This window comes from Homo sapiens, chromosome 6 (assembly GCF_000001405.40).
Source record: "Homo sapiens chromosome 6, GRCh38.p14 Primary Assembly".
NCBI lineage: Eukaryota > Metazoa > Chordata > Mammalia > Primates > Hominidae > Homo > Homo sapiens.
In genome coordinates, this window is record NC_000006.12 from 17,895,413 (window position 1) to 17,909,351 (window position 13,939).

Consider the following 13,939-nt stretch of genomic DNA (forward strand, 5'->3'; position numbering starts at 1 on the left):
GCCTATGGGCACCTGCATTCTGGTATCACTTTGTTCCAATTTTTGTGCTTGAGATTTCCTGGATCATACAAATGGCTTGGAACCACACAACAATCCATGTGATGGCTGGTTTACCTCTGTTTCACCTTCATACCCTACCCCTGGCTGCATCTCAATCCACTTTACCAACCCAAAGTATAAGGAGATTAGCAAGGACTCCACCTCTGGAAGGACTTGAACTCCAGTACTTTGTCCTCCTCAGCCCCACAAAGCAGTCAGCAATATGCATTTGCTCTGTCTTTAAGCCGCTCCTTCCTGAATGGCATATATCTAAATGCTAGGTTCATCTCTCTAAATTTTTACCTCTTTCTGGATCTTGGTCTAGTAATTCCTCACTAACTTGGCTTATCTCCAGTGCCTTCAAGCACAAGTTTTTAATATTTTGTCCAGTCCTAGTTGTCCTCAGTGGAAAAGGCAATGCTAATTACCTAGTTTGTCATTTCTGACAGCAGAAGTCTGAACAGGAACTTTCATTCTATGAATTTCACAAATATTTTGCCTCTTGTGGTCTTTAATATAATCAATTTTATATTGTGCACATACCAATCATCCTTTGGTATATGTGGGGAATTGGTTCTAGAACCCCCATGTATACCAAAATCCACACAGACTCCAGTCCTACTCTGTTGGTCCCCTGGAACCCATCTATAGGAAAAGTTGGCCCTCTGTATACATGGGTTTTATGTCCCCCGAATACTGTATTTTCTAACTGCGTTTGGTTGAAAAAAATTTGCATATAAGTGGACCTGGGCAGTTCAAACCTGTGCTGTTCAGGGGTCAACTGTATTCCCCTCCCCCCACCCCCATTAGAATGCTAGAGCTCTGTCTGACTCATGCAGCACCTGTCCCCTGCCCAGAATAATTATTTGTTAAATCGAAACAACCAGGCTTCTCTGATGCTTTTGATTGCTTATGCCCAAATCTCATCGTTTTAAATAAAATTTTATTCTTACATAATCATCATTAAAAGCACCTTTCCCTTTTCCACTTTCTTTCAACATTTACATAGTTTCTATGAGGAAAGGCCTATATCTACTTTGTGTCCATCTTTATTTGATTCTATTGTGTCATTTATTTGAGTTCAAGATGATCTTTATGCTTTCCAGATGTGCCTTATGGCATGCATATACACATTGTTTAACATTGTGATTCAGCGTTAATTTTATTTTGAAAATTTCATGACACTTCTTAGGAACGATCAATAGGATATCCAGCAAAAATAAGGCTGGGAACCACTAGGCTATATATACTCACTAGAAAGTGACAAGAACATTCCTGTGTACAAAGCAATAGTGGTTTTTAAAAATGTTTTTGTGTCTCTTTTTCATTTCAGTGCTTTTCCTTCACTAAGCAGGCATATGTGGAGTTGCGCAGTATTTCACTGGTATTTTTCTGTGGGGGAATACTTTGTACTACAAGACTGACTCTTCTGAAACTTTGGGGAACCAACAGCAAGGGATGTAAAAGCTAGATAAACGGCACTTATACATTCCAGTAGAGACCAGTTTTAGGGATTATATCTACGTCGACAATTGCTCGGGGAGAATCTCCTGATTCCCTAGATTTGTCCAGAATGCCACTGCCAATACTTTTCTAATATATTATATATTTCCTCTTTCTTAACAGATCTTATATCATTTGTTCAATGCATGCCTTCCTTGCTAAAGCTGAAACTCTTATTGCCAAGGACAATGTCTTCAATAAGTACAAGGTATACAGCAGCATTTTAATGGGTTTCCATAATCCAAGAGCTAAGATGGATTGTTCTTCATAACCCCAGGGGAAAGTAAGCTTTGTCTTTTCTGGATTCCATGCCGTCACCCAACTTGTCTTAGATTCTGACCATATAATTTGTGTAGGTAAAGCCTGTTCTAATCCTATCTCAAGAACCACAGCTATAATCAGTATCACTGGCCAGGGGCTGGTCAAATTTCTCACTCCTTTTGGTGCTAAGTGTCCCTCTGATACTCAGCAAAATGCTCACTGGTAACAAAATCAATCTTCAGTTATTCAGGGGCTGGTCATTCAGATTCCTTACTTCTCATATTCCCCCACTTCCCTCCTCTAACTATTCTCTAACTTCTGGCCTTCTCACTGGTAAAAATGCCATCAAAGGTTGGCCAGAGCAGGTGGGGAAAAAACTAACTAGTGGCCATTGTGATGGGCTAGGAACTCCAATGAGGCATATAAAGTTGGTAGAATGTTGAATCTCTATTTAAAAGTGTGAAGAACTTTTCCAATGATAACAACTAATCTTATTGGGGCACAGGAAAAGATCGTTTGTCCAATCAGTAATCACAGTTACCAACTGCCATCCTATGATCTTACCATAGTTGTTCCTCCACATTCTAGGCTGTTGATACTGTGCAGTCCCAGCTCTTCCATTCACTCAATCTGTGAGTTAGGACATGCTATTTCATCTCTCTGAGTCTCATTTCATCATCAAGAAAATAGAAACAATAACCTGACAGGTTTGCTTTGAAGATTACAGCATTCATTCTGAGAATGAAATAATATGTGAAAGTGCTCTGTCAATGTAGAGTGACACTCTAACTTTATGTTAACACTGATATTAATTGTTCATGATGTGAGTTTTAAATTAGGATGCTGTTTTCAGTTCTCAATGAGACAGATGTTCTACATGGGTTACAGTGATAAATCCTGGATTTTTGCACACTAAGCCAGTATACATGCCAAATTTCATATTAGTGCTTACCTTGGGAGGTTTCCTTAATGATGGGAAAAAAAAAATTCAGCAGCAGGGATACAGAGGGTTGTCAACACAGCAGCCACATCAGAGGGAAACAATGAAAGAGAAAAAAATAAGGTAAATTCAGCACCTTGATAACATGATCTGAAAGATATTCTTCTTCATGAAGATCAGAAGCCAAATTCAAACACATTACTGAATGAAGTGATAAACTCAATATTTGCTCAAAAACATGGTATGGGCATAATGAATTTCTCTCTTGGTTGCACAGAATGAATTCAATCATTCAGATATTTTTAATGACTTTTAAGAAATGCCAAAGGAAGAGCATCAAGATAAAGAAAGATGCCACAATCCTTACTGCATGTGATTAAATATTTTTAAATCAATTTTTATATTTAAATTTTTCTTAAATTTTTGTTAAAATATATGCATATTTTCCTTTGATAAATACATATACTCTAACATAATATATGTGGGAGTTTTTCTCATTTAAAAACCATGGTTTTAAATAACTCATATTTTTTAACACTGAATAGACATTTAAAAGCAAGTTTCCATTTTTTCCCCACCATCAGCCACACACGCACTTGTTAAAACGTTTGTTTTACACGTTAATAACTCAGAAATGACTGAAATTGCACCTGGAAAAAACTCTGAAAAGGAAATAGTTTTCTTTCTTTTTTTCTCCAGAGATGGGGTCTCACTTGGTTGTTCAGGATGGAGTGCAGTGATGTGATCATGGCTCAGTGCAACCTTGAACTCCTGGGCTCAACTGATCCTCCTACCTCAGCCTCCCACATAACTAGGACTATAGGTGTGTGCCACCACACCTGGGTAATTTTTTACTTTCTTAAGAGACACTATGTTGCCCCAGGCTGGTCTCAAACTCCTGACCTCAAGCAATCCCCCCACCTCAGCCTCCCAAAGTGCTGGGATTACAGGTGTGAACCACTGCATTTGGCTAGGAAACAGTTTTCAAGGCAATAAAATGTCAGTTTGACTTGCTTTGTAAATATTTTCTTCATGTATAAAATTAAGGAGCTCAATTATGATTTCTAAGTTATGCAATCTTATGACAGTTCTTGGCCTTCCTGATAGTTACTCTTGATCAACCTCTGATATCCTCAATTCATAAACTATAAAATTACTGTGAAAAAGAAATGGGGGCATTTACCCCATGGCTTTAATCATTCTTCATAGGAAATAGAATCATGGGGCTAAGAAAGTAGATTTTCCAGGGCAGAGGGCACGGAAAGGTATAGGCAAAACAGCAGGATGCTTTTTCTCCATCACTGGGTGCGACACTCCTTACAGAGCTCTGAGGGACTCGAACAAAACTGAGAGCTCAGTAGCAGGGAAAAAAAATGTCCAATCACATGCATAATTCTACGCTTTCGAGTGCAGGGAAGAAAAATCATCCCATTCCTATAATGATGAAGTTGAAACACCATTTTCTTGAAATTCCACGAATTAGTTGAAAGGGAATGAGCCCTTATTGCCTTATGTCATTCCCTCAGACAGACACAATGGGAATGTGATTTTTGTCTTCAGGTTTTAGAGGGGAACTAGAATAACTGGTATCTCTGGCTGCCATCAAGCAAGTCTCAACATATTTGTATGTCTACCCTTTAAAACAAGATAAACATTTATAGAGGTTATAAATAAAAATGCACAAGTGTTTTTAATTCTAAGGAAGTCATGGATTTCCATTCTGTACAAAAAACTTGAGATTTCTGCCATGAAAATTTCCTTAAGTGGAAGACAATTCAGGAAGGCCTCAGTTCTAAGAAGGTAGAACAATAATAAAACTTTATGAACCATATTTTTGACTAAACCTTCTCATTTTGCTTGCTTTATTCTTTAAAAGCCATGAAAATCACTGCTTTATTTAAAAGAGGAAAGAAAAGTCACTTGGGTTACAATAAGGCCATTATATGAAACAGCACAGACCAAAGGTAATTAAATATAGGTTTCCCATTTATGTTATGATGAACCCAGTAACCCAACGGGGCTGGGACAGACTAGGGGAATCCCAGTGAGCTCTCTGGAGTTCTCTTATGTGCCCTTTATGCCACAGCCACAGCACAATAATAACCACCACCAGCAGCAATGAACCAGTGCTGGTTTGTAGTCAGTAGTACGTTCACCTTCTTAGCTGTCAATAACAAAATTATCCTTTCTTCATTGACATTCCAAGAAGGTTTTCTTCATTCTTCTTAGAAAACCAATCCTATTTCAGCATTTTAAGCACTTTAAAAGTCTTTCTCACTTAGAAGATAGCCCATAACATGGGAATACCAATATAATTCTGCTACCTTCTTTTGTGTTTCTGAATAAATGCTTGTTAAGAACAAATTGAGACTGCGAAGAAAAGAAAAAAGGGAAGCCACAAAGCTCATCTGCTGCTACCCAAACTTACTCATCATTCATTTTAGAACAAGGACCCTTGCTACAGAAGGAAAAGTAAACCCTGTAGTGCATCATCACTGTACTTCATTCATTGATACATCCTCTACTTCATTCACTGATACAACCTGTACTTCATTCATTGATACACCCTGTAATTCATTCATTGATACACCTTTCTTAAGGTTTCTAAGGGACTCGAACAAAACTGAGAGCTCAGTCCAGGGGCCAGGCACAGTGGCTCACACCTGTAATCCCAGCACTTTGGGAGGCTGAGGCAGGCGGATCACAAGTTCAGGGGATCGAGACCATCCTGGTTAACACGGTGAAACCCCGCCTCTACTAAAAATACAAAAAATTAGCCGGGCGTGGTGGCGGGTGCCTGTAGTCCCAGCTACTTGGGAGGCTGAGGCAGGAGAATGGCGTGAACCCAGGAGGCGGAGCTTGCAGTGAGCCAAGATCGTGCCACTGCACTCCATCCATCCTGGGCGACAGAGCAAGACTCTGTCTCAAAAAAAAAAAAAAAAAAAAAAAGGTCCAATCACATGCATAATTCTACACTTTTGAGTGCAGGGAAGAAAATTATCCTGCATGAGGTGATGGGCTGCTCACTCATCCTAACTCAGACTCAAGGTTACTGCCCCAAACTCTAGAGGCTATATGTCCTTCTTTGGTAGTTGTGAAGAAAAATGTTTCCAGTATCAGTAATACTGACACTATAATCAAATATAGTATGCTATCCTTTAGGGAAAAAATGTGATATTACAATGTAAAAATAAAAAAATTCATATACTTATGAAATATTATCTTAATCTTCATCGCTTTCATATATATAAACTACTAAAATAAACTTAACAGGCTGAGATTGCTTCAAGGTCCTGGGTTTCTACATAAACAAAACAAAACTTAAACTCAGCCAATCACTGCCAATCACCAGCAGCCAACTGAGCATTAGTTATATAATCAAGAATTTTCCACTGGGACAGTACAAATAAAATAACTACTCAAACTTTAACCAATCAAATAATTTATTTGCTTGCCTTCTGAGTTCACCCTACAAAAGCTTTCCCTTCATGCCCCTTCAGTGGAGTCCCAAACCCCTTCCATTTTGGAGCTGCCCAAATCATGAATCACTATCTGCACAAATAAATTATTTAAAATTTTAATGTGCCAAATTCATCTTTTAACAATATGGAAAACAAATGAAATGAGAATGAATAATATAAACATCTATCAGATTCAACATAAACCATACTAAACACATATTTTAAAAATTATGGGCTGGGCATGGTGGCATGAGCCTATAATCTCAGCTACTAGGAAGGCTGAGGCATGAGAATTGCTTGAACTCAGGAGGCAGAGGTTGCAGTTAGCTGAGATCACGCCACTGCACTCCTGCCTGGGTGACAGAGCAAGACTCAATCTCAAAAATAAATAAATGGCCTTTTGTTGATTGTATCAGTCAAAGCCATGACTCTTAGTCAAGTACAGACTACTGTTGAGATACCTGTGTGGCTTCATTACAGAAAGAGGCAATGATTTTGTTCAGTAAATATCTAGTGAACCAAAAAAGAACATCCCTTGAAACAGACCTAAGTGACCCCGACACATAGGTTTGATTGCTGACTCCTTAGAAAACAGCATTTCACTAACACTTGCCTAAAGGTGTGTTTATTTCTGACCACTCTCCAATGCCCATCCTCCCCTTCATTCTCCAAAACATCCTTGCTTTTAATCATGTGGACTTCTCTAAGTATTCAAGTATTAGTATTTTTGTATATTCCAAATAAATAAACTAAATACAATTTGACATTTTAGAAGACATTCTAGGTTCCAGGATTTGGAGAGAAAATAAGGAGAGACAGTTCTTATTTTCCACATTGATAGTAGTTCTATTTTTGTAAAACACAAAAGCTCTTCTTCTCTTCCAGGACAAGCAGTTTGATCTCTTCCAGGTCACCCACACCATGAGTTTTTACCACACAACTCATGCAATTTACATGCCTTTACCCCACTTTGTCTTTCCACTCTGCCGGATCATACCTGCCCACTCTTGAAGACACAGTTCAAGGCTCAGCTCTCTCAATTCCTCACCAGCCTTGAAGACTATCTTGGCCTTCACTACTTCTACTATCCCAAGACTCCTAGGGTCGACAAAACAGCTTAGCACTTATTGGCACACATAAAGTTCTGATGCCTTCAGTAACTGTCTGCATTTGAGTCTCATATATCTTTAAGATGTAAACCCCTTGAAAACAGAGGCCAGGTCACGTGGTATATAATCCCTGTCCCCAATCCCATCTATTCATGTAGGGCTGAGTACAGAATAAGAACTCAGAAATAATTTTTTTACATTAGTGAGTTAAACATAATCCAGTTGTGAGGATTTACTTAAATCACCACCACAATCCTACAATTTTGGGGCAAGACTGCCTGCATTTAACAGCAGTGAAGACTTCAGAGACTGTCAGAAAATGCAGAATATTTCTGATAACTTACTTAAAAATAATCATTTCTCTAGACCAGCATTTCACAAGCATAGAAATTGAACGGGATGTTAACAAAGGTCAAGCCCTTAAAAAGCTTCTGACATCAACTAAATTGAGAAATGCTGCTGAACACAGTTAAATATGGGTTTCTTTATGGCAGTACTTTTCAGAGACTTTGACATGCTAATATATGTTGTTACTCTCCTTGCATATTCAATGCAACATTTCAACAGCAGCATTCCCCAAACTTATTTGATAACAGAATTTTCTTGGAGGAACATATTTTGGGGGAAATGTATCAATGATTTTGATAAACAAACAAAAAGGTATTTTAAAGGATGCAATGGGATTTCCATATTGCAACAAATCTAGCAGCTCAATAATCTCAGGTATTGACATAGTATGGCTAGAATTTAGGATGAACAAAAAAAGGTTGCTATTAAAAATATACACAATTATCAGAGAAAAATAAGTTTTACGTGACTTTTGAAATATATATTTATGTAAGTGCTTTAAGAGGTACAAACAAAATGGCACAAGAACTCACAGAACAGAGCGATCAAAGCTGAATGCAGGCACAGGGATGGGGATGTGGTGGTCAAGAAGAGAGAGGATCTGGAAAGGGTCTTCAAAGACAGGGAAGACTGACAGGCAGGGATGTGGGCCATTTCTAATAGAGGTGATTTTGTTAGCAAAAGTACTTAAATGAAAATATTCTAGGTGTCTTAGCAAGGGTTCAGTTTGATGAGATTATAGAGTAAATGGGGGGAGCGGGGGAACACTAGAAAACAGTACAGTTGCCAGGCGGCGTGGCTCATGCCTGTAACCCCAGTAATTTGGGAGGTGGTTAGGATCACTTGAGGTGGGAGGATCACTTGAGTCCAGGAGTTCAAGACCACCCTAGGCAACACAGTAAGACCCCATCTTTACTAAAAATAAAAAAAAAAAGTAGTTGGGTGTGGTGGCACATGCTTGTAATCCCAGCTACATTGGAGCCTGAGGCAGAAGGATCCCGTGAGCCCAGAAGGTGGAGGTTATAGTGAGCCATGATCGTGCCACCGCACTCTGACTTGGGTGACAGAGTGAGACTCTGTCTCAAAAAAAATAATAAAAATAAAGAAAAAGAGGCCAGGTGAGGTGGCTCATGCCTGTAATCCCAGCACTTTGGAAGGCTGAGGTGGGTGGATCACTTGAGGTCAGGAGTTCAAGACCAGCCTGGCCAAGATGGTGAAACCCCATCTCTGCTAAAAATACAAAAATTAGCCGGGTGTTGTGGCACATGCCTGTAATCCCAGCTACTCAGGAGGCTGAGGCAGGAGAATCACTTGAACCTGGGAAGCGGAGGTTGCAGTGAGCCGAGATTGCACCACTGCACTCCAGCCTGGGTGACAGAGTGAGACTGTGACTTAAAAATAAAAAAGAAAAGAAAAAGAAAACAGTAAAGATAAATTGGACCTATACTTGGACAGGTCTTGAAAGGAGAAGTCTGTACTTAATTTAGTAGGTAGTACAGACCTGGAAAGTTCAATAAGGAGGACTAAAATAAAGGAGGATAAATAGCCTGTTGCAACAACAGCAATAAAAATCCTAAACAGCTGAAGTTCCTTCCCCACACTTCACTCTGAAAGATATCTGGGTCAAGGAGTCCTCTGACCACTGTTTACAGCATATTGACTATAATTAGCTACTTAGAAGTTTGGTGGCCAAAGGCCCTGATGTACAATGCCCTACGACGTGTGTGATCAGAGAAGTATCTTCTGAACCAGAAATTTCTCTTTCATGTATTAAAATACTTTATTAATTGTTGGAAATGGCTGCAACCTAGATCTGAAAGATATACAGTTAAATAGCATTTGCCTCCTGGAAATTAGCCTAAGGACATATTCCTTATTATGAAGCCTCTGACTGTCAATTCCAACTTGGAGAACTAAACAGGTCATCGAAATCTTCTAAGTCAAACTTGCCCAACCCGTGGCCTACGGGCCTCATGGGGCCCAGGACGGCTTTCAATGCAGCCCAACACAAATTTGCAAACTTTCTTAAAACATTATGAGATTCTTTTGTGATTTTTAAAAAAAATTTTTTTAAGCTTATTAGCTATCATTAGTATTAGTGTATTTTGTGTGTGGCTCAAGACAATTCTTCTTCTTCCAATGTGGCCCAGGGAAGTCAAAAGATCAGACACCCCTGTTCTAAGTATTCTCCTAATCAGCAAGTATTTATTGAGTACTAACTCCCACAATGCATATTAGGAGTGCTTTGAGGGAATATTTAGAGGAATTAGGCATGGTCTCTGACATCCGGAAGCTTAAAACCATGCAAGAGAGACAGATACATACATGAATAATTAATATTAAGTGGATGGTGATAAGTGTGACAACAGAGACAGGAATGAAGAGCTATGTTCAGTCAACAAACATTTCACATGCACTGTCTGCCACTTTGTTGGGATACAAAAATAAATTAGTCTTTTTGTCTTTCAAACAAGAAACTGATTTTTTATACATATATCACAAAACAATATAAAGTGCACAGCAGCTCTCCAAAAAAGCGGGGGATTCACTGGGCAAAGAGGGAATTTTGTTGGAGGAGAAACGCCTGGAGCAGAATTTAGGAGGACTTAATAGGAATTCACCAAGCTGACAAGCCAAAGAAATGTTATCCCAATAGGGGGAATCATCTGTGCAAAAATCACCAGAGAACACAGCTCATTTGAGGGCCACAGACTCATGGGATTGTTCTGTTGCCAAGCTCAGCAGTTAGACTACAGTTAGCAGAGAAAGTGAGACCTGGGATGATGGTATAGGGATGAGGTTTTGCAGGACAGTAGGTACCATTTTCAATCAGGATTTATGAACTGTAGTTTGGAGATAAGTTTATATACTTTTCTATCAATAATCTAACATTACCTACATTGAAAACATACAACAAATGCTTCTATGAATTATAAAAAGTAGAAGGGGTTACATAAGCATCTGGAAGACCTTTGAAACCTATCACAAGAAGAATGCAAATTTCAAAAACTTTAAGTTCCAAGATAAAGCCTGGTTTGAAAATTTTAAAAAAGAGAGTCATCAGATGATCAAACCTACAATCACTACAGTAAAATTTTCTGAACATGTGAAGAAGCTGATTCATTCAAGAGACATGCCACCAAGTTTGTTTTGGAAGAATACTGGGTAGATCATTCAGAATCTACTAAGTTTAAGTATATGCTTAATGTCATTTTCTAATTGTTTTTCTCCTAACCCCTTATTTCCTCTAAGACTTTGATCTCACTGCCTATGGTGCTTTGCTTTTTCTTTTCCTTCCCTCCCTCCCTCCCTGCCTTCCTTTCTTCCCCCTTTCCCTTTCCCCTTCCCCCTTCCCTTTCCCTTTTTCTCTTTCTTTCTTCTTTTTTTTTTTTTTGGAGGAGATCTCACTCTGCTGCCTAGGCTGGAGTGCAATGATGTGATGACAGCTCATTGTAGCCTCAACCTCCTGGGCTCAAGAGATCCTCCCATCTCAGCCTCCCAAGTAGCTGGGACTACAGGTGTGCACTACCACACCCAGCTAATTTTTGTATTTTTTTGTCAAGACAGGGTCTTGGCATATTGTCCAGGCTGGTCTCGAACTTCTGGGCTCAAGCAATCCTCTTGCCTCAGCCTCTCAAAGTGAGGCTGAGATTACACGCATTAGCTACTATGCCTGGCTGCTGTGGTACTTTTCAAGAACACTATTCTTGCAGTTGGTGAGGGGAAGCTACGGTTCCATGAGAATACCTGGTAGGGCAAGAATTGGGTAGAGAAGGAAGTAAAGTCAGGAGGATGACAGACTGGGAGAAAACGGCAGAGGTAAGACACTCATGGTCTGGATACAATTCAAGAATAAAGATGCAGAGGTGCTGGGTGAGATAAGATGCTACAGTCAACAAGTGAAACCTAACATTTCAGAGGTAGCACATTTCAGGGTTGTAAATTCTAACCTGGTCATATAGTATATGTCTGTGAATTGAAATGGATGATCATTACTTTAATTAATAGCTAACACTTACTGAGTTCTAATTATGTGCCAGATAGGTTTCTGTTACTATCTGCTTTAACTCACTTAACATATTTAATGACCCTATACATAAAAACTCTCATTATTATCATTTTTCAAATAAAAAATACTGAGGAACAAGGTATACAGATTGCATGACTTTCACAAGATCATAGTTAACTGGCATCAGTACCATGATTCAAACCCAGGCAGTCTCTGGCTGGAGCACACTGTACACTTAACTGCTATTGAGTATTGCCTCTCTGGCATCAAAGAATTTGGTGAGAGCTCTTTCAGCTTAGGCTAGGTATTGATTGGATAGCAATCCATGTGGATGTTCAATGATGTGGATCATTCATGCTTACAAGGGTTATCCATGTGGTTAATAGCATGAATTAGCCCTTCTGTGTCCTTCATGAATGTGCAGGAGAAGCCTACACAGAGTGAACCTCCAAGAAGGAAAGGCATTTATGGAAAAAAAAAAAAAAGGAACTGGTATGACAACGTGGAGTTAGAAGGCTGCAAACGACTACTTCCTGCTGAGGTAGTAGGAAACTGAGGGCCACTGAAGAGGGGTATAAATAAAGCCACAAAAATGTAGATGCAGATGTGTTGGGAGCAAATCCTAGGCAGAAGGACAGCTGGAACAAAGCTAGAGTGCACAGGATATGTTCAGGGAATAGCAGGTAGACAGAATGTAATTGAGAGCCATACAGCTGGAAGAATAGACAAGAACCAAAATGCAGACAGCATTGACTGCCATGATGACTCAGCCTTTTCTCAGAAGAAATTGCCACAGATGGTTTGCGCAATGGGAATGACATGGCCAGATCTGTTTTAGGAGGGTGAGACTCAAGCGTGAATGTAAGAGGCCACACCATCTAGAGTCAGCAGTGAGACACGCACTGGTGAGCCTCTGCCTGGCACCAACTGCAGCCCTCACCGTGTGTAAGTTAAGACACTACTGCAAGGACAAGACAAAAAGTAGGACAGAAAGACAGAACACAAAGACAACTTGAAGGAAAAATCTGTAAGACTTGTTGAGTGTGTGCCCCCTCCACCTAGCCACTCCACCATGTCTACAAAGATTGAACGACTGCCCCACAGTGTGAAGGGACTTTCCACATGGGACTTCAGTCACAGACCTTGAAGCAGACCTGATGGAATGAATGAAGAAAAAAATGGCTTCCTTTCAATTGATACTTATTATATTGTTGACAGATTTAAAAATTAATTGAGGCTGGGCATGGTGGCTCATGACTATAATACCAGCACTCTGGGAGGTCACAATGGGAGGACTGCTTGAGCCCAGGAGTTCAAGACCAGCCTGAGCAACAGAGTAAGACCTTGTCTCTACTAAAATTGTTTTTAAAAATCAGCCAGGTGTGATGGTGCGTGCCTATAGTCCCAGCTATTCAGGAGGCTGAGGTGGGAGGATCGCTTGAGCCCGGGAGATTGAGGCTGCAGTGAGCCATGGTCATGCCACCGCACTCGAGCCTAGGCGACAGAGCGAGACTGTCTTAAAGAAATAAAATTAAAATGAACTCAAAATACACTTGTAATTTTAAAAAATGCTAATCCTGATATGCCTTCTTAAAAAAAAAAAACCCTGTTTCTTTTTAAAAAATTACCAGTTAATCTATTTTCATTTTCAATAAAACTCAAAAAGAAAAACAACTAATTTTGTACTGAAGCAGACAGACTTGTGGTTTGATTTTTTGGACTACTTTGGTATATTTGAACTACTTCCTTCTGGCATAACTGTATTTGGCTTAATTCTACAAGATATAATGAAGCACAGTGGTGAGGAGTTCAGGATTGGGGGTCAAACAATCCTAGCTCTGCCTTGATCTAGCCATGTTGACCTTGGACAAGTTTACTCAACCGCTGAGTCTCAGCCTCTAAAGCGGGAATAGAAGAGCACTCCTTTAGCACTGTTGAAGGATGGCATGAGGTGGCGTGGGTAATGCTGTACATCATTAGCATGCAGAGTTATTGCTCAATAAATGTTAGATGCCATTGCTGTTGTTACAACAAATAGTCCTCCTCAATTATACACGCAAAATGTCAACATTGCTGAAACTAAATTTCATCTGGGAAAAGGGTACTGGGGAGCTGAAGAATGACAGAACTTATAAAACAGGGTTCTTTCCCTGAAGAAAAGAAAGGTTTTTGGCTGGGTGCTGTGGCTTATGCCTGTAATCCCAGCACCTTGGGAGGCCGAGGCGGGTGGATCAACTGAGGTCAGGAGTTTGAGACCAGCCTGGCCAAC

At 39.7% G+C, this 13,939-nt stretch overlaps 1 protein-coding gene across 4 annotated transcripts in view; it reads right to left on the minus strand.

The window, feature by feature from the left end:
* Positions 1-13,939, minus strand: part of KIF13A (kinesin family member 13A) — a 228,510-nt gene that overhangs the window by 136,287 nt on the left and 78,284 nt on the right. For all 4 annotated transcript variants that reach the window (NM_001105568.4, NM_001105567.3, NM_001105566.3 and 1 more), the window contains exon 3: positions 2,756-2,768. In NM_001105568.4, the coding sequence (NP_001099038.1) occupies positions 2,756-2,768 (13 nt within the window). The remainder of the gene's footprint in view (positions 1-2,755; positions 2,769-13,939) is intronic.